The sequence below is a fragment of the Homo sapiens genome, chromosome 10, assembly GCF_000001405.40.
Source record: "Homo sapiens chromosome 10, GRCh38.p14 Primary Assembly".
Classification (NCBI taxonomy): domain Eukaryota; kingdom Metazoa; phylum Chordata; class Mammalia; order Primates; family Hominidae; genus Homo; species Homo sapiens.
Window position 1 is genome coordinate 131,683,231 of NC_000010.11, and position 26,368 is coordinate 131,709,598.

At 52.1% G+C, this 26,368-nt stretch overlaps 8 annotated features.

Annotated features, from left to right (window-relative positions):
- Window positions 1,919-2,420: an enhancer, noted in NCBI's record as "H3K4me1 hESC enhancer chr10:133517485-133517986 (GRCh37/hg19 assembly coordinates)". NCBI's record gives its function as "activates a minimal SCP1, AML or CMV promoter by ChIP-STARR-seq in primed H9 embryonic stem cells {active_cell/tissue: H9 hESC(primed)}" and the evidence as "EXISTENCE:reporter gene assay evidence [ECO:0000049][PMID:30033119]".
- Window positions 2,421-2,920: an enhancer, noted in NCBI's record as "H3K4me1 hESC enhancer chr10:133517987-133518486 (GRCh37/hg19 assembly coordinates)". NCBI's record gives its function as "activates a minimal SCP1, AML or CMV promoter by ChIP-STARR-seq in primed H9 embryonic stem cells {active_cell/tissue: H9 hESC(primed)}" and the evidence as "EXISTENCE:reporter gene assay evidence [ECO:0000049][PMID:30033119]".
- Window positions 5,360-6,024: an enhancer, noted in NCBI's record as "H3K27ac-H3K4me1 hESC enhancer chr10:133520926-133521590 (GRCh37/hg19 assembly coordinates)". NCBI's record gives its function as "activates a minimal SCP1, AML or CMV promoter by ChIP-STARR-seq in primed H9 embryonic stem cells {active_cell/tissue: H9 hESC(primed)}" and the evidence as "EXISTENCE:reporter gene assay evidence [ECO:0000049][PMID:30033119]".
- Window positions 6,025-6,687: an enhancer, noted in NCBI's record as "H3K27ac-H3K4me1 hESC enhancer chr10:133521591-133522253 (GRCh37/hg19 assembly coordinates)". NCBI's record gives its function as "activates a minimal SCP1, AML or CMV promoter by ChIP-STARR-seq in primed H9 embryonic stem cells {active_cell/tissue: H9 hESC(primed)}" and the evidence as "EXISTENCE:reporter gene assay evidence [ECO:0000049][PMID:30033119]".
- Window positions 12,055-12,556: an enhancer, noted in NCBI's record as "H3K4me1 hESC enhancer chr10:133527621-133528122 (GRCh37/hg19 assembly coordinates)". NCBI's record gives its function as "activates a minimal SCP1, AML or CMV promoter by ChIP-STARR-seq in primed H9 embryonic stem cells {active_cell/tissue: H9 hESC(primed)}" and the evidence as "EXISTENCE:reporter gene assay evidence [ECO:0000049][PMID:30033119]".
- Window positions 17,161-17,836: an enhancer, noted in NCBI's record as "H3K27ac-H3K4me1 hESC enhancer chr10:133532727-133533402 (GRCh37/hg19 assembly coordinates)". NCBI's record gives its function as "activates a minimal SCP1, AML or CMV promoter by ChIP-STARR-seq in primed H9 embryonic stem cells {active_cell/tissue: H9 hESC(primed)}" and the evidence as "EXISTENCE:reporter gene assay evidence [ECO:0000049][PMID:30033119]".
- Window positions 18,900-19,650: an enhancer, noted in NCBI's record as "H3K4me1 hESC enhancer chr10:133534466-133535216 (GRCh37/hg19 assembly coordinates)". NCBI's record gives its function as "activates a minimal SCP1, AML or CMV promoter by ChIP-STARR-seq in primed H9 embryonic stem cells {active_cell/tissue: H9 hESC(primed)}" and the evidence as "EXISTENCE:reporter gene assay evidence [ECO:0000049][PMID:30033119]".
- Window positions 19,651-20,400: an enhancer, noted in NCBI's record as "H3K4me1 hESC enhancer chr10:133535217-133535966 (GRCh37/hg19 assembly coordinates)". NCBI's record gives its function as "activates a minimal SCP1, AML or CMV promoter by ChIP-STARR-seq in primed H9 embryonic stem cells {active_cell/tissue: H9 hESC(primed)}" and the evidence as "EXISTENCE:reporter gene assay evidence [ECO:0000049][PMID:30033119]".

Consider the following 26,368-nt stretch of genomic DNA (forward strand, 5'->3'; position numbering starts at 1 on the left):
AGCACCTTCGTTTCAAAGAACTCAACGTATTTCACATGTGAACCCTCACATCAGAGGTCAGAGCAGCAGTGTCCGTCTGCACCTTGAACAGGAGCCCTGGAGCATGATCTTACCTGGGTCTGTGCATGGCCAGCTCAAGGTCCAAGGTCCCTAGCCCCGCGTCCACCACTCTTTCCTCTGTCCCCAGCTCAGGGCATGCTGAGGCTTCCTTGGGCTCCTGACCACCCTGTTCCCACGGAAACTGCCTCTTTTCACGGACATCTCCAGACTGCGCCTTGCCGGGGGCCCCTGGGGTCCCCGCACCCGGCCAAGAGCAGATTCAGGGCAAACGTGGGCCCTGGCTGAGCAGTGAAACTGGTTCCCCTCCCCCTGTTGTGGAGCAGTTGGTCCAGCCACAGAGTTGGTCACCCAGGTCCCCTTCCACGGAGATGGGGACACCGCAGGAGGCACTGTCTATGGCAGACACGACCTGCCTTCCCGGGACAGACCCGCCCCGACGGCAAGGGCTTCTCATGCCTGAGGCTCCCAGCTCCCCGTATCCAGTACCAGGGAACGCGAAGGCAGGCTGTTGGGGATGGCAGCAGGAATCCTGTAGAGCCAGGAGTAGGAGGTGGGATCAGAACAAAGCGTATGCATGAGTGCCCCATGCTGCAATGCTGCCGTGTGCTGGGAGCTGCAGGTGGCTCTCTGAAGCTCTATGGAGACACCTGAGCAGGAGCTCCATCCTACATGGAGGAGGCCAATTTATACCTAGAGAGGGGGTCTCTGAGCAGCATTCCACAGAGGCACTTGCTGAGCAAGACCACCCAAGACAAGTCAGCCGCACTACCCCACCTGCTCAGACTGAGTCCAGCAGCCCAGAAATACCTGCGGCCTTCAGATCAACGTCCTCCTCCGGCGTGAGCTCCTTTCATCCCAGGAACTGCTGCTTCGCAGGGAGAGCTTCGTTAGAGGACACACCATTGCTTCTGGCTGGGAGGAAGAGGTCCTGGTGTCCCGTGGCCCTGTGGGATGGCTGCTGGTGACAGGGACACGGTGCGGAGTTCAAGTCGCTGGAAGGAGGATATTGAATGTGACCGACATGAAGAAATCATAGGTGTTTGAGCTGCAGGAGGTGCTAATTACCCTGCTCTGATCATGATACAGAAGTTATACTGAAGCACCACTATGTAACCCATGAATATGCACAATTATTATTTGACAATTAAGAAATAACATTTTTAAATGGAAAAAAAAGAACAGTTGGACATTCTAAATCTAAATTTGGGCCTTTTCAGAGTATAAGGTGCATATTGCAGGAGCTGCCAAGATACCCAGACAAGACTTTCAAATACCTGGCACCCAGAGCCAAACCTGACCGAGAAACCCTCAAGTCCAGAGAGAACTCAAGAGTCAAGAACCCAAAAACCCCGCAAACGTCAGACGCACCCCACAGAGACCAGCCACAGAGACCCCTACCTTCAGGCAAAGGAAGCCCTCACCCACATCGGCTTCCACATAGGTGTTCATATTGAATTCAATTACTCCAAATCCCCCCACCAGATCCACATGCAGAATGGAGTCTCATTGAAGACTGAAATTATTCTCCATAGATTTTGAAATGTCTGCCCTTAGAAACCACCCAGCCATTATTCACACGAAAATTAAAGTAATGCAATCAGGAAGCAGAGGTTGCAGTGAGCTGAGATTGTGCCCCTGCACTCCAGCCTGGGCAACAAAGCTAGACACCGTCTCAAAAAATAAAAAAATAAAGTAATGCGATCAGGGACACTTAACCTGAGCTGAATACCAGACAGACAGGAGCACGTTTGTGTTATCACAGCTTTGTGTTATCACAGACGCAGAAGGGCTGTCATTAGACACCAGTGGGCCTTGTGAGAGGCCCTTCCGTCTGGGGTCAGGTGAAATCCTACAAACCCACAGCACAGGCAGGAGGTAGGGGGCCTCCGCTCCCCTCATGACTCAGTCACTAAAACGGCCTTGAAAAGGGACAGCTCATGAGAGCAGTAGCCAGGGACGGCTTCCCCACAGTGGATCCCCTGTGACCCTGCCTGCTGGCCACCACAGTCCTGGCAAGATGGCTGTTCTTAGACATTTGAGTAAAATTAACTGCACACGGAAGACAGGGGTCTACATTTAGGTGACCCTGCTAGAATGGTCCCTGAGATGTAAAATCATGAAAGGTCAAAGGGAAAGGGCTCAGAGAGGGCTGGCTCAGACCCTGCTCCTGCCTTCCCTCTCCCCTCCCCTGCTGAAAGCCCGGGCACCTGCCAGCGGGGCTGTCCTGCCCAAGTCTGGCAGCACGTGCCTCAGCTCCAAGGACTCTGTCCCCAAAGCACATCAGGACCCACTGCCTTGGCAGAACCCTGAATCATTCACAGTCTGACATCCCACCTGCTCTGGGGACGAGCACCTTCTCTCCCTCCAGCCCCTGCTCTCATTCCTGCCAGGCACTCTCCACTTTCAGCCACGCCACCTGCCCTCTGCCCCACTGCCTTCTCCAATCTGCCAGGCCTCTGTGCCCTCACTGCCCACGAAGCGTCCCCCGAGACATGAGTAGGGAGCAGCCAGTGGCAGTGCCCAGTCTGAGTTTGTGTCAGGGAGAAGGGGTGACTGAGGCACCTGCTCTGCGGAATGACTCACGGGATTGGCCAAGGTCACGTGCCGTGTCCATGATGTGCTTGGCACAGTAAGTGTAGTGTTTGCTGTTATGTGCCCACGCCCCACAGATCCTCACTGGAACCACTGCTATGCCAATTCCTGAAACTTGGAAAGAAAGAGAGAGAGGCCGGGCATGGCAGCTCATGCATGTAATCCCAGCACTTTGGGAGGCCAAGGTGAGTGGATCACCTGAGGTCAGGAGTTCAAGACCAGCCTGACCAACATGGCAAAACCCTGTCTCTACTAAAAAAAAAAAAAAAAAAAAAAAATTAGCTGGGAGTGGTGGCAGGCACCTGTAATCCCAGCTACTTGGGAGGCTGAGGCAGGAGAATCGCTTGAACCCCGGAGGCAGAGGTTGCGGTGAGCCTATATGGCACGGTTGCACTCCAGCCTGGGCAACAAGAGCAAAACTCCGTCTCAAAAAAAAAAAAAGAAAAAGAAAAAGAAAAGAAAAGAAAAAGAGACAGAGAGAGAGGACACAAAAAAATCAATCTGCTTAATGACCAATTCACTGAATTAACCCAGATAACTTTGCATACTTGAAGAAGTACACACATTCTCTCTCTCTCTCTGTCTCTCTCTCTCTCCCTCTCCCTATTTCTCCCTCCTCTCTCCGCCCCCAGTTCCTGAATATATTCAATAAATATATGCTTCTTAAAAGAATTGTAAGAAATGGTCCATTTGTTGAAAACTGTCACTAAGTACTTTTGCTTCCTTATGGACACATTCTCATCACTACATTTGGGAAGAGGAAGTACCTGAATGTAGTTAAAGAAGACAAAACCGCTCTACTCACCAAGAAAATGCCAGTTAAATTGAGCGGAAAGGAATATGGTCTTCAAATAATCCTTAGAAGTTGTTTTTTGGTTCAATTGAACAAATTTAGCAAGTTGGTCATTTTGGTGAATTTCTCTGGCAGCACACCATCGTCCTGGGAGCCGGTCTGCTCCCTGGTTAATCACAGTCCCCACAGCCCAGCCCGGCAGCCCTCCACCTCCAGCCACCCTCCCTCCTGTTCTCTCACCTGTGTGGCTCTGCCAGTCACCGAGGAGCCAGTCCTGGCCTCCAGGCTGGGCTCGGACAGGGCGCTCAGCTTTATCTGCACCTCCCAGGCAGGTGAGTAGGGGTGCCTCTGCAGGGACCCCTGGAAGTTTCTTCCAGCTTCCTTCCCCTCCCCTCCCCTGGCGCCCCGTCCACCCTCCCCAGGCCCCTGCTGCTGCTCCATCACCTCCTGTCTCAGAGCGGCTGGACCCTCGGTCTCAGCTTCACACATGTGCAGCCACACAGCGGCCTCTCTTCCCTGGGCAGCTCTGGAGCTAATCCCACCCCCCACGGGGACCCTCTTCTTTCAGGCCTTCTCGGGAATTCCACGCTCCGTGGGGGGCTATGTCTTACCCAGTCTATACCGTTCTCTACATTTCTTGAAATTGGAAAACAAAATGAAGTAGGTTTTAGCCGGTTTCAGCCTGTATGTAGTCACAGATTATTTTATTCACAGATTTTTTTTTTAATTTCTTCAGAAACAAAAACAGGATTCAAGGTTAGGCTAATAAGTAATGAGTGTTTTGGCTGAAGCTATTTTGAACTGATGATCAGGTCTCAGTGAGAAGGGCTCTGATTTATGGAATGGCGTCAAGCTGATGACATTCACTCTGACACCTCAGCTGAGCTTCGAAGGAAGGAAGGACACATAACACCTCCCCGCCAGCACACACAGGTGCACACTCACATACACACGAATGCCTACACTAACACACACAGCACTCACACACAAAGATATGCACACACAAATACGCACACAAAAACACACACCCACACATGCGCATGCCACACACAGGCACACGCATACACACAAATGCATACACATACACACACACCACCCACACAAAGATTCACACACTCACACGCAAATATGCACACAAAAATACACTCACACCTGCACACACCACTCACACACAAACATACACACAAAAACACTTGCATGCATGCACACACACGCAACCCCATTAACCTCACACACAAAAACACACACACATGCACACACACCACTCACTCATGCACAAATATGCACACAAAAATACACGCTCACACATGCACACGCCACTCACATACACACAAAAACACACATGCACGCATGCACACATACAGGCAACCTCATTGACCTCACACATACACAAAAACACACATGCATGCACACACACCACTTACTCCTGCACAAATATGCACACAAAAATACACACACGTACATGCCACTCACAAACACACACACAAAAACACACATGCGTGCATGCATGCAAACACATGCAATCCCATTAACCTCACACATACACAAACACACACATACATGCACACACCACTCATGCACAAATATACAGTGCACACACCACTCACACACAAAACACACACATGCATGCACACACACATGCAACCCCATTAACCACACACCTACACAAAAACACATGCATGCACACACACCACTCATGCACAAATATACAAACACACACACATCCACACCCCATTGACCACACACATAGACAAACACACATGCACACATGCACCACATATATACACATACACATCACACATGTACACATATGTATACACACATTCCTACTGGCACAAATACACATGAACACATGCACCACATATGTACACATACATGCCACACATGTACACATATGTATACACACATTCCTACTGACACCAATGCACACTCACACATATACACACGTGAACACACACATACTGTCACACATCTATACAAACATGCACACATACATCCATGCACACACCCCACTGACACACATCATGTGCACACACAGCCCTTCTGTTGTAAGGACAGGGGCAGAGCCTGTGAGAAGCCTCCTGTGATGAGGGGATGAGTCCGCGGTGTCCTGTTCCTACTTTCTCCACACACCCAATAAAGACACTTCCTTCCCTTTTGAAAGAGGCTTATTCCATGCACTGAGCTGGACTAGGAAGCCCTGCATTTGCTAATCCCCCACCCCCACCCCACCACATCCTGCGGGTCGTGCCTCCAGCTCCCACCCACACCCCACATGCCTGCGAACCCATCCCTGCCCCATTTCAGCGTCCCTGTCCACCCCCCGCCTCAGCTCAAGCTCTGCCTCCCCCATGCACATTGGGCTTTGACACACGTCCCCGTGGCCCCCACAGTTCTCAGCGTGGTGCTCTCTGCCCCTGGCAGGGCCCACTGGCCCTCACCCTCATTCTCCAGCAGGGCTCTGCCCACCTGCCCCCACCTCCCAGGCAAAGTGCCTATTCACAAGGCGTTCCCACCTCCGAGGCCTGCCTGCCACCCATCAGCGTGGCTCCCCAGCGCCACCAGGAGCCCACAGAGGCTCCCAGGCACCTACGGCTTCAACGTCCATCCGCAGAAGGCCCGAGCTTCTCCAGCAGCAGCTGCTTTCCTGAGCACCAAAGCCCTGGGTCCGACAGCCTGGTGGACATCTGTGCTCAGATGGTCTCGGGCCCAGCATGGCCCCAGCACACCTGGCGTCCTCTCTACACATGTGTTTCGTGCTGCCCACTCTTCCTTCAGTGACGATGTCCTCGCTCAGCTGGCCAACTAGAAAACCCAGGTCATCCCTGATGTCCCCATTAGCAAACTATCTAAATAGGCACCAGGCCCCACGGACTCCTGCCGGAAGACACCTGGAACCTGGCGATTTCCTCACCCCACCGCTGGACTCCCCAACAGCCCGCGCCTCTGCACGAGCACCGTCCGTCTCCTTCTCGGCTGTAGCCAGTGGGGCCGGCCTGCAGTGGGAGTCTAAGCCCACTGCTCCCTTGAGCAAAGTTCTCCACTGTCCTGCTGCCTCCCAGCGAGCCCCTGACTCCACGCCCAGCCTCACTGAGTGGCCGACAGCTCCCAGCCCCAGCTCAGCCCCGCACAGTCAGTCACACATGCCGCCATCCTGGGCCCTTGCGTGGTCACGCACGTTGTCATCCCAGTCACATGCGTGCCTGTCTTGGGCCCCTTTCCTTCCTGCTGCCCCCTGACCCTGGCTCTCAGCTCAGGACCACCTCTGGAAATCACCTCCAGGAGCTGGACCCTGGTGTGTAGCCCACACGTGGAGGTTTGGCCACTTCAAATTCAAATGCTCCTGCAGTTGCTTCTTATTGAGAGAGTGAGTTTGGCCTTTGACTCCCTGGGTCACCAAGTGGCCATCACTCCTTGATTTCTTCTTGCAGCAGTAGCTGCTCCAGGCCCAGCAGGTCCTGGGCCAGCCCACGGGAACTGTCATGTAGGGGTGGATCTGCTCACAGCCACGTCAGAGGCGGGGGCCTGCTCTGCTCTGTGAGCGTGAGCCCAATGACAGGGTCCAATTGCTGTGTTCTAAAGCCATCACAACCTTTGATGATTTACTTTCCAATAAAACTGCGATGCCCTCTTCCAATCACACACACTCTCACATATACTCTCTCTCACACACTCTTACACTCACACTCATGCTCACACACTCACACTCACATTCACACACTCACACACTCACTCTCACACTCACTCTCACACTCTCACACACACACTCTCAACACACATTCACACGCACTCACACACTCGCACACTCCCTCTCACACTCAACACACACACACGAGTTGGTTTATTTTTCCTGTAACGGTAGAACACTGATTTTCAGCCAATTTCATCAGCAGTTGATGCAGATGGAGGGGCAGGCGTTAGCACGTTGCTGATGCAAACGCCACAGGCCTTCTGTGTGCCCGCATGACCCTATCCTTCTGATCTGATTCTGATATATTCAGCTCACTTCCAAGGAGAGTAAAAGAGATTTTAGAGGCGTTTATCACAAAGGGCTTAAGTTGTTAAGTTGGCTGCAGATTCATGGGCGAATCCTGCCAGATGAGGGCTAGCCAGCAGGGACAGCCGGACTCCGACAGCCGACCATGAGGGCCCGGAGGCTGTAGGCGGGGTCTGCTTTCCTCTCCCTGAGACCCCCATCAGTGCCTGCCACCCAGCCGTGTCCTGGGCCCCGCTCTCTGCTGCCAATGCTGACCTCATCATGCCACCTCACTCACTGGGGACTGGGGTGCCACGATCCAGGTCTGTCCCCTCGTGCGCACTCAAACATCCATGTGGACAAGAGAAGCAACAACCCAGGCCAGGGACCGTTCTCCATATGGAGTCCCCAGAGCGGCAGAACCTGCCTCACCCAGAGCCCTCCAGAAATGCAGGATCCCACGCCCCACTGAGGGTGCCCTGGGGGTGGGGCCCTGCGTCTGCCCTTCAGGTGATTCTGATGCCAGAATTTGAGAACCCCTGCCCTCGTCTCTCAGTTGCTTGACTCCTCATCTCAAATGTCCTCACTCGCTCTCCCCTGAGGCCCAGCATTCTTACCGGGCAGTGGACCAGGGCCTTGGGCACCCACTGAAATTACCTGGGGAGCTTTAATGATGCCAATGCCTGGGCACACGAGGCTCTAATTTAATTTAATTGGTTCAGAACAGGCTCCAGCATGCGATTTTCCAAACCTCCTGGATGATGCTGATGTGCAGTGGGCCTGAGCAGTGCTGTCTACTGCCTAGGATGCCAGGAAGGGCACCTTCGGATGTGGTAAGCCTGCACCACCCTCTGTCCGTGAGCCCCTCTTCTTCACTCACTGCCACACTGCAGCCTCTGCGCCCCAGCTTCTCTGCCCCTCCCTCCATCTTCCAGCATCCACGGCCCCTCCCTCCCCCTCCTCCTTCCTAGCACACCGAGACCGCCAGCTCACCACTGGGGTACTTTCCTGCCACCCTCCCCTATCTCCATGGTGGCCCCGCCCTGCAGATGCCCCCCCCCAACCCCTGCTCCCGGGACCCAGCCCAGGTTGAGAGAACTGTTCCCCCCAGGTTGCTGCCCCGGCAGCTGCCCCTCTGCAGACCCCCCTGGGCCACACCCTGCGGGTGTGTCTCCTGCACCTGCTGGGGCTGCTTCCAGTCACACCACTCTCTCCAGCTCCTGCACGACCCACTCCCCCTCCTCTGCAAAAATTACCCCAAAACTACAAATGGCCAACAGCGGCCTCTGGACAAGAGCTCCTTCCGTATTACTTTCCTCTCCTCCACCGCGACCTGCACTTCCACATGCCTGGGCCACCCCTGTCCCTGCTCCTCGGGAGGGCAGAGTCTGCTCCCTGGCCAAAGCTGACCTTCCGTCCTGTCCTGAGCCCCTCTCCTTAGCTCCGAGGACCTCAGGAGCCCAAAACTCTCTGCTGATTCTGTGTTTTCATCACCCCGTAGCTCACGGCTCTTTTCCGTTCACAAGCAAACTTGCTGGAGCTTCTCCCGTACTGAAGGCATCCTCTGTGAACCTGGAGCTCTCGAGCTTCTCTCCTCCCCAAGCAGCAGAGCCTGGAAAGTGGCCCAGGTTCTCGTTTTCACTTCTCACCACCTCCTGGCGCCTCCGTCCACTGCAGGCTGGTTCCTGCCCTTCCACTCCAGGGTTGCCAGGGAGCTCCGGCCGTGTAGCCCAGGGAGCCCTTTTCTGGTCCTTTTCTACCCGGGCATCTCTGAACCACACGGTTCCCCAAGTGGCTCCCTCTTCCTTCACTGCTGGGTTGCCTCTCACTGCGGCTCCTGCTGCCACAGCACTCCGTGGAGACTATTATTAACATTAGTACTTGCTGGGTCATAACTGCTTTCTCTCCGATCTAAAACCTTGGGAAACTTCAACACTGCAGCCAACCAACTCATCTTTAAGAATGCAGGAAGTGGATATCGCCCATGAGACACGCTAGTGCTCAGAGGTAACACACTCGATGTCAGCCAACATGAACAGGTGTGTGTCTCACCACTGCCCTTAGGAGGTGGAGACCTCGACCCCCAGGGTCCTCCCGCAGAGCCGTGGTCTTTGGGGGTGAGCTGTGCACACACACATTTCCTGGGCAGGACTGCTGACTTCCAGGAACAAGCTGCAGCATCTCCAAGGGCACTGGTGCAGCCTAGCTTTCAAGCTGTGCGTGGGAATTGGGGGCCGTTGGGACAGCCCTTTCCATCCATGATCTTCCTGACTTCCTGGGTGGAGGCCTTACCTGCCCACAGCAGCTCTCCCTCCACCACGTCGTAAACACAGCCCTTTCCTGCTTCACAGAAAGCCCCAACACAGGAGGGCTGCCCTGGCACCTGCTCCCTCCCACAGCATCTCCCCGCAGCTTCAGTTTCTCCAGTGCTGTTCAGGGTGATGGCATTCTTGTGCTGGGGATGACACGTCACAGGTGCAGTGCCCACAAGCTCGCCTGTGCTCCGGAATGACAGCATCACTCAGCAGATTACCTGGAGGCTGGACTGTTTCTGCCTGTTTGGAGAAGGTTCCATCTAGATTTCAAAAATCTTCCTAGGAAAAAAATCAGATCTCATTCACTGAAGATGGACATTTTCAGCAAGCCATATTTTTGCCTTCAGAGATACCATCCTTTGGCTGCAGTCTTGGAAAAAGTCAGAAGTAGGTGACCGTGCCAGCTGGCCAGACCTAACACAGGGCCGTGGGTCTACTGGGCCCTGTGGAATAGAACAGCTGATGGGAATGGCACCACCACTTCAACATCAGTCCTTCCTCTTGTTCATGCACAGACAAGTCTCTCCTTCTCAAAGCTGCCAGGTCAACTCTAACCACAGACCCATCAAAATGGACCCAGGAGCCCTGCCCACAGGGAATATTACCTGGTGGTCAAACCTCTCCCATGATGAACTTGTTACAGTCCTGATGTACTTCTAGGCAGTTAAGGCAGAGCCAGGAGCTTGGGGAAGAATCACTTGGCCAAATCCTGAGCTGGGTTCCCTGTCCCCTTCCTCAGCTACACCACACACTTCCCACGCAGTCCCTGTGGCGGGTTCTGTGGAGACTGAGTTTGGGATGTTTTCCAAAGAAAGAGAAGAATACATGAAACAGAAGCAGAGTGATTACGTTTCTCCATTTTTATCCACATGTGACCACACAGGTGATCCTAACCCGAACCCACCAGCTGCAGATCACTGGGCTGAATCATCGGCTTTGGTCTGAACCATGGTCGCGCAGTCTCCCAGAGGCCTTACCAGGGCAGCACCAGCTTTGTGGCCTGCGCCAGCTGTTTTTCAGATGTAAAGATCTCACCAAGCCTTCCCCGCAGAGCACTGATTCATTTGTTTTGAGAAATCTCATTTCTACCTTTTTTCACAGGACTTATGGTCCTCCTCTTGACTCAAGTCAAGGCAAATGTGTGAGGTGATAGGAACACAAATAGTCCCGAACTCTGCAATGACCTGTGCCCCTATAGTGCACTGGCTGGTGCCTACTTCCCAGACAATCTTCCTCCAGCACCGTGCGCCCATCCATCAGCCTCTGCAGACTCAGCCTGCAGGCACCACCTGGCCTTTGGAGGCTGCCCTTGAGCACTGGTGCCACTGCTTCCCCCTATGGTACTGGGTTAACCTGGGACCAACAGCCCCACGCCCAGGCCTGGGGCAAGATAGACTTCTGAAGAGCCACTGAGGCCCGGAAGCCCCCACTGGATCAGGCGGAGTCTGGGCTCCCCGCTCCAGCCAGGACTGCTTTCCTCCCGTTCCTGGCTCCCATGAGCACCTCCTTGAGAAAGCACTGGTCCCCAAATCCTTGGCTCTGGAGGATGCCAGCCTGAGATGAGCCCCTTCCCCTGTCTCTGTAAGCAGGTGTCACAGGTGGCACCCCCAGGAGCAGATGTGGAGCTGGACTTTGTATGCAGGACAGCTCAGGGTATTTATCTGGATCGATATCTGTGGGGAGGGGCGGAGGGAAGGGCACAGGAAGAAGTCCAGGGCGGTGCAGGGACACAGGGCTTCAGTCAGTCTCCTGGGGAGCTCTGGACACCAGCCCCTCAGGGCTGCCCTGCGGTGAGCTGAAACAACCAGGGATCAGTGGCCTCAGTCCAAAACCACAACCCCTTGCCCAGGAGAAAGGACCCTGCAACAAGGATCCGTGTGAGGGTCCCCTAATCCTTCCCCAGAAGGAGCTGTGTGGCCACTTAGCCAGCCGGACACCAGGGTGGGGTCCCCAGACATTCAAGGACTGCTAGACACAGGGTCTGAGTTGCCAAGGATGCCCAGAGACATGAAAAGTTGTCACGGCCCCCAGATTAGAGAGGGCACATAGAAGCCAGGTGACTCGTGGAGTTCTGGCTCAGGCCTGGATCACAGGGTGTCCAGTGGGTCCCTGGACAGACCCAACAGCCATGCCTCAATCCCCACGTGAATAACTGGATGGACATCTTGGAGTAGGCAGGTACAAGCCCTTTGCTGGTCATTGGCCTGTGGGTCAATGGTTACCACCATAGGGAAGGCCAAGCCTCCAAACTCCCCCAGCCCGTGGCCTTGGTAGTCCATTAAACTCTGCGTCTCATCACAGCGGAGGGTGTAGACAGTATTGGTCCCACATGGTTCTAAGGGCTGCTGGTCTGAGGAAGGGACAGGCTTGCACCAACGTTGCGGGGGACATCCAGGCTGGAAAGATGCTGGGAACAGTGGTGTGGAGGGGGAGAGGCCCCAGGAGGACTAGAATGTTCCAGGATCTGCTTGGCTGCGGAGCTGCTCTTTTGCCAGAAGAGCTCTCTGGAAGGCTGTGCTGGAACCAGGGCTGAGGCTCAGGGCGGGGAGTCCTTCTGTGGCAGCTGCAAAGCATGGCTTGTCCTCCGTCTCATCTCTCCTTATGCCACAGCCAGACCATGAGGTCAGCCACATGAAGGCAGCCCTGACACTCTGTGTCCCCCCTGCCGATGGCCCGGAACCCTGCAGGTGACTTGCTCCACCTTCTGCTTGTCTAGGAAAGGGAAGGGCTGCACAGAGGTCTGAGGAGACAGCTGCCAGGTGGAAGGCGTCCCTCTGCTCATGCGGACAGGGGACATGGAGCTACCTCGGCAGCACTTGCATTCTGGGGGGACAGAGAGATGCAGGTCGACCTGCAACGTGCGGGCCTCAGGGTGTGCAGGCTGCAAGGACCTGCAGGGGTGCCAGCGACAAAAGGCCCCTGGGAGCCAGAGACAAAACGCCCCTGGGAGTGATACGCTGCAGAAGACAAGGCAGAACCCCAGGCCCAGTGGACGCCACCCTTCAGAGAGACGGCACGAGGGCCCTCTGAGGAAAGCCGTCCCTTTGTCAGTGGCAACAATCTGAGCTGGTGACCCAGTGACCCTATGGTCCACACTTCCAAGACCCCTAATGGAGGCCCCGGCCGGACACAGCTTCGGCCCTCATTGTTAGACTACACGACCTCACCTCCTCCCAGAGCAAAGCACCGGAACACGGAAAAAAGGGAAGGAAGGAAGGAAGGAAGCCTGATTTTCAATCTGTAAGGTATATACCCAGCAGTGGGGTTGGGGTCATAGGTTGCTTCGATGTTTCATTTTTTGAGGATTCTCGGTCCTCTCTTCCATAGCAGCTGCGTCATTTTACCTTCTAGAGATCTGTGAGCAACATGGTACCCATAGCTAACAACGCTGCAGTGTACACTGAAAAGCTCTCAGACAGGAGATCTCAAAACTTGTTTTCACCACAAAAAAAGGGACAAGAGAGCAAGAAGAACCTTTCGGAGGCGATAAGTGGGTTTATTACCTGGATTGTAGGGATGGGGACGGCTTCACAGGTGAGTGCGTTTATTACCTGATTGTAGGGAGGGGTACGGCTTCACAGGTGAGTGTGTTTACTACCTGGATTGTGGGGAATGGGTACGGCTTCACAGGTGAGTGCGTTTATTACCTGGATTGTAGGGAGGGGGACGGCTTCACAGGTGAGTGCATTTATTACCTGGATTGTAGGGGTGGGGGACGGCTTCACAGGTGAGTGCGTTTATTACCTGGATTGTAGGGGTGGGGGACGGCTTCACAGGTGAGTGCGTTTATTACCTGGATTGTAGGGGTGGAGGACGGCTTCACAGGTGAGTGCGTTTATTACCTGGATTGTAGGGGTGGGGGACGGCTTCACAGGTGAGTGCGTTTATTACCTGGATTGTAGGGAGGGGGACGGCTTCACAGGTGAGTGCATTTATTACCTGGATTGTAGGGGTGGGGGACGGCTTCACAGGTGAGTGCGTTTATTACCTGGATTGTAGGGGTGGGGGATGGCTTCACAGGTGAGTGCGTTTATTACCTGGATTGTAGGGATGGGGGACGGCTTCACAGGTGAGTGCGTTTATTACCTGGATTGTAGGGGTGGAGGATGGCTTCACAGGTGAGTGCGTTTATTACCTGGATTGTAGGGGTGGGGGACGGCTTCACAGGTGAGTGCGTTTATTACCTGGATTGTAGGGGTGGGGGACGGCTTCACAGGTGAGTGCGTTTATTACCTGGATTGTAGGGGTGGGGGATGGCTTCACAGGTGAGTGCGTTTATTACCTGGATTGTAGGGGTGGGGGACGGCTTCACAGGTGAGTGCGTTTATTACCTGGATTGTAGGGGTGGGGGACGGCTTCACAGGTGACTGCGTTTATTACCTGGATTGTAGGGGTGGGGGATGGCTTCACAGGTGAGTGCGTTTATTACCTGGATTGTAGGGAGGGGGACGGCTTCACAGGTGTGTACACATGTTTAAACCCATCACATTATATACATTAAATACACACAGTTTTTGTATATCGTTTACTACTAAAACTGTTTAAAAATAAAATAAATCTCCACCTTTTCTTATTGTCAGACCATAATTTCTGCCAGTCACGTGGGTAGGAGACGGTTTCCCATGATTGTTTTCCGCGATGTTTCTTGGCGTCCGGAGAGGCTGAGCACCCTGCGTGTGCCAGTGGTCACGTGACCTCTCCCTTGCAGGATTTCTAGTCTTGCCGCGGGTGGCTTTATCGTATGCTAGACACTAATTTATTTTCAGTTACGTGCATTGCATCACACATACATTCTCCTAGACTTCACGACATCCTTTGTTATACAGAAGGTGGCCTGATTCCTGGTTTGTTTTATTCATTATAATCAAATTCCTGTCACTGCAGTCAGAAGCGGAGTGTCCGCAGCCACACAGGCTGGGAACCAGGCTCTCCTCCTGACCAGCTGCTCCTCAGCCAAGTCACCGTCCCTCAGTTTCCACCTCTGCAAAGGGGTCCCACCACTGCCTCGACCACATGGGGCTGTTGAGAAGATTCAACCAATGTGTTTGTAAAGTGCTTTCAACAGTGCCTGGCATGAAGGAAGCCCTGAATAAATGTTCGTTCATTTCACTATTATCACTTCATCGTTGTTTTCCTTTTCAGTTTCTGCCGTTTCTGCCTGATTTAAAAAGCCCTTCCATATCCTAATGTTAACCATTGTTTTCTTCCAGAAGTTTTCAAGTTTGGCTTTTCACAGTTCAGCCTTTCAAGCGTTTCTGGGTTGTGTTCTCTTGTGACTGGCTTCTGTTTCTATCTGTATTCCTACGTGCCTATGCGGCAGGTTCCCCTTCTCTCCAGGCAGCCCCATCATAGCCCCAGCCCCTGTGTGGCAGGGTCAGCCTGCACCCTCTGCCTCCTCCCCCATGGACTATGATTCTGCAGGGGTGTGGACACGCACATGTGCTCAGGATACTGGAATAACACTGACTTTCTGCACGGCAGCCCGCACCGCCACCCTTCTTCAGGTGTGCCTGGGCTGGGCACGGCAGCCCCCACCGCCGCTCTTCAGGTGCACCTGGGCTGGGCTTTTTATCATCCAGTGAACTTTAGAATCTGCTGTCAGTGTCATTAAACATCATTTGGGATTCTGATAGGAATCGCATTGATTTTATAAATTCATCTGAGAAGAGCTGCCATCTTTACGCTGTGTCAATCAACATGATAGACCTCTCATATATGTGTGGGTTCCTTATGTCTTTGGACAATGTTATAATTTATGGGTTTCCTCATCATCTTCTTGTATGAGGGGCATTGCTCATCTTTTACTAGATCTGTTGGTGGGAGCTTTGCAGCTTGTGTTGCCATTGGGGATGGTACCTTTTCTCCTGTTGCTTCAGTTGGTTATTATCGGTGGAAATGAATCTATCAGGGGTTTTTTTGTAAGTTTGTTTTTTGTTTTTGAGACAGAGTCTTGCTCTGTCACCAAGGCTGGAGTGCAGTGGCACGATCTCAACTCACTGCAACCTCTGCCTCCCAGGTTCAAGCGATCCTCGTGCTTCAGCCTCCCAAGTAGCTGGGATTACAGGTGTGTACCACCACACCCTGGTAATTTTTGTATTTTTTAGTGGAGATGAGGTTTCACCATACTGGTCAGACTGGTCTCAAACTACTCATCTCACGTGATCAGCCTGCCTTGGCCTCCCAAAGCGCTGAGATTGCAGGCGTGAGCCACCATGCCCGGCGCTATCAGGTTTTTAACGTTGCTTTTGTGCCCAATGACTTTGCCAGCCAGTCTCTTAAGTGTGAACGGTGTGCAGATATGTTTGCATTTTCAATCCTGCTGTCTTCAAATAACCGTCACTGGGTTTCTGACTCCCCAGCCGGTGGATTGCCTGTTGCTCATGGCTCTCGCCAGCAGCTGCAGCCACCAGGACACATCCAGGTCAGAGGAGACAGAACACGTTCTCTCTTCACTCCTGACTTTGATGGGAGTGCTTTTGGAATTTCATCATCAAATATGTTTTCCATATTTGTCAGGGTAAGGAAATCCCCTTTTATCCCTCATCTGTTAACATTTCTTAGAGTAAATGAGTAATGATTTCTTCAAAGGCATTTTTGTACCCGTTGAGTGATATTCACTTTTCTCTCCCTTTTGATGGATGAGTAGAGGAAGCAGATTCTGTGACGTGAAGCCATCTATTCATTTCCCTGGTCATGAAACAGGTCGGCATCTGCACTCTTGCATCCTGGACATGTGCTGCTGTGTTTCACGGTTTGCACGTCCGTCTGTGTTTGTCATGAAACATGTCAGCGTCTGCACTCTTGCATCCTGGACATGTGCTGCTGTGTTTCACGGTTTGCACGTCTGTGTTTTCATGAAACATATCAGCATCTGCACTCTTGCGTCCTGGACATGTGCTGCTGTGTTTCACAGTTTGCACGTCTGTGTTTGGAAACGTGGTTGTTCACTGTTGTGTGTGGTTCATTTTCCTCCCGTGTTTACTGTGTTGGTTTGGGCTCCCTATGATTTCGATCAGGCCGTGATTTTCCTCCCTTCTCTCTTCCCATGCTCCCTCTGCAGCTCAAACAGGGTCCTGGGCCCAGAAGCAAGTTTCATGCTCAGTCTCGGGGCCTGAGACTCACAGAGACGTGGAGGGCATCACAAGGTTGATCAACAAGCCCACCAGTGATTCAGCCCCCACCTGGTTTCACAGCCCTGGTGCCTCTGTCCACCTCCCAGGCACAGATTCCGAGAAAGTGCCTCTGGACATGGCACTCACAGCCTTGCCTGGGCTCTGCCTCCTGCCCTACCCCTTCCTTGGTGTATGTTGGGAGCCGCTCCCTCGCCGCCTTGGTGGGGCACACACTCCCTTTGACTCCCTGGATCCAAGCCCCAGGCCACCTCTGCCTGCTCCCAGGGGCTTCGACCCACACAATGCCTTGGGTATCAGCTTTATTTCTGGGCCCCAGCAATGCTAATTTTCTCTAACATGACGGTAGCGTTTAATTTTCATTTGTCTGATTAGCTGTGTCTGGTACCCCACTGTGTTTGGAAGGAAAGGGTCTCTGAGGATGGCCTTACAGTGCCGTCCTGGCAGGCCACTCAGGGGCTGCCTGACGCACGTCCTTGGGAACTCGGGAAGCCAGGCGGCATCATGGGAGAAACCACACGCATTCCAGTTGCACCCAGGCAGTCCTGCCCACGTGGAGAGGTCCTGGGCAAACCCTGTCTCTGGAGGTACCCCAACCATGCCCTCAAGCCTGGTGCCTTCTGGATCCCTGCCCTTCCCAGTCCAGGGTGCCCCACAAGAACATCTTCCCCTGGGGCTTGACCTGCATCCTTGCTGCTGCCTCCAGCTGCCATGTGTCCTGCCCTTCTCCCGCCCCAGAGGGCCTCATCCTCACACGTGGGAGTCCATTTGAGAGTCTGCTGGATGCGTAGGCCTCTGCTCAGAGAGTAGAAGTGCTAAAGTACAGGTGCACATACTGAAGAATGCAGGTGCCTAGAAAGCTTCACTGATCCCACTTTGAAGATCACCGCCCCCACACCTTCCAGGAGCCTCACGCGTCCCCCACTGAGGCCAGAGCCATCACAAATCAAGGTTTTCATCCTCCTGCAATCCAGCAAAAGGAAGATAGAGAAAGGAGAAATTTTTCAGGAAGAGTGGACACAAGAAGAAGCATGTTTTTTTTGTTGTTGGGGCCAAACTCAGGGATTTTCTGCATAAAGGGCACAGAGCCGCCCTCTCACATGAGCACTTCCTGCTGAGGGCCCTGGATGAGCCTCCCGTTGCTTCCGTACAAACAACCATGACTTAGTGCCTGGAGCAACAAGTGTGGACTTCCCAGAGTTCTGCAGGTCCAGCTCCAAAGTCGACCTGGACTAACTCGACTTGCGGCAGGCCTGGCTCCTCCTGGAGGCTCCAGGGGAGGACCTTCCTTGCCTTGAGTCCTTCTCATGCCACCGTCTCTCTAACCTCCTCTCCAAGCCCCTCTTCCACTGTGAAGGACCCTTGGATGACAAAGGACAATCTCCCTACCGTAAGGTCACCTGATCAACCCCTCAATCCCATCTGCAAGCTTAATTTCCATGTTTCCAGGTTCCGGGGAGGAGGAGGGGGATGTCTTTGGGGCCCCCAGTCGTGGACCACAGGCACTGAATGCTTCCCATCAGGACACCAGTGAGGAGAGCTGGTGAGACTCTGTATCTGGCTGTGAGCCCAGTGGAGCCCAGTGGGATCTTAGCTCCCTGCAGCAGTGTGAGCTGGAGGGACCACGTGGAAAGCCATGTCTCCGAGGGAGGGAGGCTGTGTTCTTGAGGCTTCACTTGAGTTCCATGGCAGGCCTGGCAGCGTGGGAGAGAGGTGACCCATAGGTGCACGGCAGGTCCTCCCACCCCCTCCAGTGGGTGTTCGCTGCCCTGTGGCCCTCAGACAACCACCTGCAGCCCCTGTGCAGACCTTCCCTGCCCCCACACACCTGACTATCCCCAAAGGGACATGCATCCCACATGGGATCGCCCTGAGCACAGCCCAGTGACACTGGCCCTTGGATAGTTCTGTTGTTCTTAATTTCCCCCATCATTCACCCATCTTAGTGGATTTCTCCAGGAACACAAGAGTCTGTAGCCTCTGAATCCAGGACTTTCTCCTAACAAAACTGCCATTGCAGCTTCAGGTAATGAAACTGAGGAGGACATTGCCAGGAGCTGGGGTACTGCCTGCCCCGTGCAGCTGTGTTTTCCCTCATCTTTCAGCAAACCCTGCTGAGATTCAGCGTGTGATGAGGAGTCACGGCTGCACAACAGAGGTCATTTTTTGTTCCTTGTCACATAAAATTGGAAGCTTAGAGAACACCATGAGGAAGTTTTTAAAACTTTTATGAATTATTCCCACCAGGAGTCATAAGCATTTTTCACTGTGGTCATTTTGGGTTCAGTGAAGCAATGATTGGGCTGAGAGTCTCCTGGTTTTATGATTAAAAGGGCAGGTTCTCTCGTCCGGTCACACAGGCCTGCATGGAAGTCAACCATGTCCTTGGGACTAAATCAATCCACTTAGGAAATAGGAGGACGAAATGCAAGGAGAAACTGCAGAGCATGGAGATGAGCTGCCCTCCCCGGCCAGGGCTGGGAACCACCACCTCCCAGCCAAGGGCAGGTGCAGCGGGCGCTGGGGCAGGGATGTGCTGGAGCCCTGTGCCTGAGTCAGTGCTGCTCCAGGACTGCTGGCTGTGCTGCTGGCCCCGCAGGTCACACCGTGTGCAGGGCCTGTGGCTGCACCCACCCAGCTGTGGGGACTTCTGAGTGCTGCGGTTTTCCTGCCTCAGTACATCGGTGTCTGGCTGTCGGCCCCACTCTGGAGATGACAGCCCCCAGGTGGCAGAACTAGCAGTTCTGGAGGATCACATGGACTGCGTTCATACACAGCCACCCACCCATGCTTAGGCAACCTCGAGAGATCATGGCCTGGGCTCTGCAGCTCCATTAGCCAAAGAGTGCCACCGCAGAGCTCACGGGAAGGGCTGTCCCATGCAGTACGCAAGCGGGTGTTGGTAAAGTGCGGAGGACAGAGAAAGCTCAGTCACCTAAAGAACGGGTCCTGCTCATCCAGGGCTGGGAAAGCTGCACACAGCAGCCACCCTAGGTCACTCAGACACACTCCTTCTGGCTGGGATGACACAGGGTTCAGGGGCTTCAAGTCCCACCTCCAAACACTTCTAATGACAATCCGAGCACTGCGTGCACTTTTACGCGAGGAGCCCCGGGGCTGTGCATGCACACTCGAAGCGGGGTGTGGTGTTGGAATGTGACAGCTGCTTGCAGACCTCAGGGTCCCCCACACCCACACACTTCAGCTTCTCCTCTATCTCCTAAAAACAAGAGCCTGCATAACAATCAGCACAATTATTGAAGATTCAAATGTGCAGTCCTTATTTAAATATCCTCAATTATCCCATAATGTCCTTGGCAGGTTTCTTTTAATGCAGGTGACCCAGTGAATAGTTGCACGCTGCATTTAGTCATAGTGTCTCCAGTCTCCTTTAGCGTGGAACAGCTTCCACTTTGTATTGCTGTTATTTACCTGTTGCTGTTTTGAAAGGTCCAGCCCAGTTGCTTTGCTGGAGGTACCTCATTTGGAAACGCCTGGTTGCTTCCCATGTTGAGAGAAAGCTGTCGCAGGTGCTGCATCCTGCCCAGGGCACCCACACGGGGCCAGCTCCCCAACCAGGGGTGTCGTGCCTTGTCACTGGGTTGTGGCTCGTCTTCCACCTTCTCAATCCTGAAGGCACCTGCACCGAGCAGCCTGTGGTGATACTTTGAGACTTGCTCTGGCACAACTGGCTGTTCCAGGCCCACTTTGCAGGCTTCCCACAGTGGGGGTCTGGAGCCGGCCCTGGTTCCTTCAGCGAGAAAAGGCATTTGGAAACCATGACCCAGGTGCCTCTGCTCTTTGACAAGGTCTAATTTCTAGAAGGAGGTTCTTTCTTCTGTGATGCCAGGTTATTTCCTTTCAATTCCCGTACTGTGGATTTCTCTCCAAAATGCAAGATAGTTACAGAGGACGCACACATGTAGCCACCAGAGGACAGGGAAAGGAGCCTGTGGCACAGCCCCTAATAATCCTGAGCACACGGCACCTCCATCCCATCCACTACACACCCTCCTGGGTCCCGGTGCTGCCAGCCCTCGGGGGTGGGTTTGTTCTGTGTTCTGTCCCCACTCTGTCCCCACCGGGATGGGCCCCCACCATGGCCTGAGTTATCCACAGATTCCTCTTCTCTTTTAGATCCCCAGTTCCCGGGACATATCACTTGGTCCTGGTGGTCTCGGCTAGCACCCACCTGTGCATTCCTGAGAAGAGGGCATGGAGGTTCTTTGCAATTTCTGGATCTTCCTGCCCACCAGAAGCCTTCTTGGGGGAGAAAGTCTGTTTCCTCTTTTCTGCTGTGTCACATTCTTTGGCTTAGCCATGTCTTCGAAATAGATGACAACATATTTGTCTAAGGGTGCCTTTATTAGTCAATGTAAAGTTCAGCAAAAGCAAACTCATTCCCTGCCCCACTGTCTTTTTGCATTTAGCCATGTGTGTACATTACTTTAAAAGAATCTCTATCGTGAGAATGGCCATACTGCCCAAGGTAATTTACAGATTCAATGCCATCCCCATCAAGCTACCAATGACTTTCTTCACAGAATTGGAAAAAACTACTTTAAAGTTCATATGGAACCAAAAAAGAGCCCGCATCACCAAGTCAATCCTAAGCCAAAAGAACAAAGCTGGAGGCATCACACTACCGGACTTCAAACTATACTACAAGGCTACAGTAACCAAAACAGCATGGTACTGGTACCAAAACAGAGATATAGATCAATGGAACAGAACAGAGCCCTCAGAAATAATGCCGCATATCTACAACCATCTGATCTTTGACAAACCTGAGAAAAACAAGCAATGGGGAAAGGATTCCCTATTTAATAAATGGTGCTGGGAAAACTGGCTAGCCATACGTAGAAAGCTGAAACTGGATCCCTTCCTTACACCTTATACAAAAATCAATTCAAGATGGATTAAAGATTTAAACGTTAGACCTAAAACCATAAAAACCCTAGAAGAAAACCTAGGCATTACCATTCAGGACATAGGCGTGGGCAAGGACTTCATGTCCAAAACACCAAAAGCAATGGCAACAAAAGCCAAAATTGACAAATGGGATCTAATTAAACTAAAGAGCTTCTGCACAGCAAAAGAAACTACCATCAGAGTGAACAGGCAACCTACAACATGGGAGAAAATTTTCGCAACCTACTCATCTGACAAAGGGCTAATATCCAGAATCTACAATGAACTCAAACAAATTTACAAGAAAAAAACAAACAACCCCATCAAAAAGTGGGCGAAGGACATGAACAGACACTTCTCACAAGAAGACATTTATGCAGCCAAAAAACACATGAAGAAATGCTCATCATCACTGGCCATCAGAGAAATGCAAATCAAAACCACTATGAGATATCATCTCACACCAGTTAGAATGGCAATCATTAAAAAGTCAGGAAACAACAGGTGCTGGAGAGGATGTGGAGAAATAGGAACACTTTTACACTGTTGGTGGGACTGTAAACTAGTTCAACCATTGTGGAAGTCAGTGTGGCGATTCCTCAGGGATCTAGAACTAGAAATACCATTTGACCCAGCCATCCCATTACTGGGTATATACCCAAAGGACTGTAAATCATGCTGCTATAAAGACACATGCACACGTATGTTTATTGCGGCACTATTCACAATAGCAAAGACTTGGAACCAACCCAAATGTCCAACAATGATAGACTGGATTAAGAAAATGTGGCACATATACACCATGGAATACTATGCAGCCATAAAAAATGATGAGTTCATGTCCTTTGTAGGGACATGGATGAAATTGGAAACCATCATTCTCAGTAAACTATCGCAAGAACAAAAAACCAAACACCGCATATTCTCACTCATAGGTGGGAATTGAACAATGAGATCACATGGACACAGGAAGGGGAATATCACACTCTGGGGACTGTGGTGGGGTCGGGGGAGGGGGGAGGGATAGCATTGGGAGATATACCTAATGCTAGATGACACGTTAGTGGGTGCAGCGCACCAGCATGGCACATGTATACATATGTAACTAACCTGCACAATGTGCACATGTACCCTAAAACTTAGAGTATAATAAAAAAAAAAAATCCTAAAAAAAAATAAATAAATAAATAAAAGAATCTCAACAGCACAAAAGCAGATATCACAAAAAGCAGGTCTCCCTCCACCCCTGTCCCCTGCCATTGTCCCCAGAGACAGCCACAGCCCCTGGCACCTGTCAGCCATGTTGACAGAAAGCCAAGCCTGCATGTGCCCATACCATTTTAGAGCATATTATATACTTTTTCACTGAATAAGTTCATCTTAATACTTTTAATATTGGTGATCTCACCAGTACTTATCAGTACTAATAGATATTCTTTTTAATATCTGTGCAGAACTCTATGGCATGGCTAAAGCATATTTCATTCACCTAGCCCGCCAGTGGACAGGTGGCTCTCCCCTGCCTCCCTGCTATTGAAATGCTGCCTCACACATAAGATGCTGCACTCCTGTGTGATTCATCCCAAGGCCAATCCCAACACTAGGCTGCTACATCAAGGAAGTTTCACATTCTAAGTTGTCAGCACATTTCCTTCCACACAGGAAGCCCTGCCCACAGGATCGCAAGCAGAGCTGAGAGTGTGTGGTGCCGTATCCTCGTCAGTACCGACTGTTCCCACACTTCATCATCTTTGCCAGTCTGGTTAGTGGAAGACAACACACTGGTGGCTTGATGCACATGCTTCTGTCACTCCTTCGCATCCGTCTCTCTCTCTCTCTCTCCTTGAGGGAGGTTTTTTTATTTCCTCTCCTTCCTGAACTCCCCGTGCATGCCCCCTAGAACCTGTCACCTTCCTCCCTGAAACAGAAATAGGGCAAGGCCAGCTCTGGCCAGTATCCCTCCACCTGTCTGCAAAACACAAGGATGGCCATAGTGAATCATCTCATCCCTGCCCCAATGCCCCCTTCCTGCCTTCGGGATCTGAGCCAGCCTTGTGACATGCTTTGAACCAGCAGAAAGCTGCAGAAGCAAAGCCTGGCGACCTCTGAGATGAGGTCTCAAGAGTTTGAAAGATTCACTCTGTTTCCCATGGACCACGGCTCTGGAGTGGAAGGCCACACAGCCAATGCCAGCACCAACTGCCCGTCAAGCCACCAGATGACTATAGTCAGAAAGTGACCCCAGATAAGACCAGCAGAAGAACCATCCAACTGAGCCCAGCCCAAATTGCTGAGCACATAATTGTTAGAAAAAAACCTGCCTGCTGCTTTACCTCAGTGTTAAACCTATGTGTTGGAGTGATTCGTTACACACCATGGATTATGGGTACTGAGATGACCATGGCAGACAGGAATGCAGAGAGGAACACGCTCAGATGCAGACACACACAGCTGTTTGATCAGGAGTCCCAATGCTGGATTTGCTAAGAGAACCAACACATCTTTAGAAAATAGCTTGTTTCTATTCCAAGTTTCTAGGGAAGTAACAGGCATGTGGGGGGTTGGCACCGTGCTGGAGGGAAAACAGGAGATGGTGAGAGCTTCATATGGGGTGGGGGCCAAATCCAAACATGCCCACTTATGGTTTTTCCCAAAGCACTGGAAGAAGAAGTCTCCTGTGCCCATAGGAAATACTTTTGCTTTGAAATTAAAGCCGTGACATACTGATGGTTCTGCTATCACCTGCCTTGTTGGAAAGAGAACAATGAAGCATACAGCAGGACACACGTCTCCAGGGAAGTCCAACTGCACAGGCATTGAGGCCTCACGACTGGTACATGGGGCCTTCATGAGCGCCAGCTCCATGAGCTGACCCAAGGGTTTGGCCTCAGTGCCCCCAAGCACAGCCAGGGGGATCAGTGGGCAGAGGGTGAACATCTGAGCACCCAAGGATAGAGCTGACATCAACCTGGGAAGGTGAATCCTTCCTCAGGTTCCAGGGGTAAAAATCCAGAGTCAAGAGTGGAAGGTGTAGCTGGAACTTGGACTCTGGGTGAAAGTGGAATGGAGCCTGGAGATGCGAAGCCTTAGGTGGAATCTGGAAGGAAGCTTTCAACAGCCCATGGCTTTTCCCTATAGTGACTGAGGGTGGGCCATGCACCAGAGTGGGCAACTCCATGATAAAGGCACAGGATGGGGCTGATAAAGTCAGAGAAAGCACAGAGTGCAGGGAAAGTCCACCGAAAGTCTCAGAGAGGGCAAGCAGGTGCAGGAAGAGAAAGAGTCCCAGGGGCGTGCCAGAGAAAAGAGGCATGCCCGGAAGGGGCGTGCCAGAGAAGGGAGGTGTGCCTGGGAGCAGGTCAAGGTCAAAAGAACACCTCGCCTGTGCAGCCTGCCAGGCATGCGCGCCAAGGGGAGAGGCCTCGGCTGCACCTCATGTTTATGGACTTGATCTTTGCTGGCAGCGAAGCTTCCGGCCTCAATATGCTGGCCAGGCGAGAAGATGCTTCCCACAGGGACCCTGCCTGCATGTTGGGAGCTTCCCATGCAAGGTGGTGAGAGGGAGCTGCTATAGACAGCAGCGTGGATGCAGAACCAAATGCCTCGATATCATAGCCAAAAAACATGCAAACAAGAGTCACAAAGGCGTCTCAAAGCCTGGTTTCCAAAGGCATTTGGCAAGCAGCTCGAAATGTGCACAGCTGCTCTAATGACATGGTTAACTGGCTTGCACTGGGAGCTGGAAGGAAACATCTCAGAAACTCGCTTTCCTTCCATTACCAAACACAATGGCATACGTGACTTGGAACTACCCTATGACATGCCAGGGATTAGAGTGGGACAGCCACCTATTATCACAGGAGTCTCAGTCCATGTGATTAGACAGGCTTGGACCAAATATTATGGAAAATGTGTCTAGAATTTAGCCTGTGAGGTAGCGAATACAAATATACCCTAAAGACAATTTGTCACTGTTCATATGGGTCAAAATCATAGTTAATAACCACAGATAAGTGAACTGTCAAATTGAAACTCATTACTGGGGAAAACATACCTGATATGCAGCATATAGCATTAAAGTGCTCCCCGCCTTCCACGTTCCTGCTGCCAATTCCAGAAATAAAACCACTGCACTTTTTCTAAAAGTGTAACACTTGGGAAAGGCAAATGGGTACTTCTCCCAGCAACTCCCAACCCTCACATCTATTAAGCTGGCCGTATTCTGGCATCTTCTCCCCAGATGCAATTGCTAGGGCTGTTTGTGACGCACGACAACAGACCAGGATTAAAAGAATCTTCCTTTACTTTGTGCTCAACGGTTGCTTTTGAAAACTCTTTGCACCTTCATTTGTTTTCAGGAATTTGCTTCTCATCGAACACAACCCTGTCTGGGTGATCTGGGTCCATCCTAGACTCAGACAGATTCTCCAGACTCATTTCATCAGCTCGGAACCCAGCAATGCACGTAGATACCACAGACATATACACACACAGAGACATACACTGAGAGACACAAAGACGCACACACGCAGCACACATGCAGAAACAGAAAGAGACACACACCCACCACACAGACACACACACACACAAA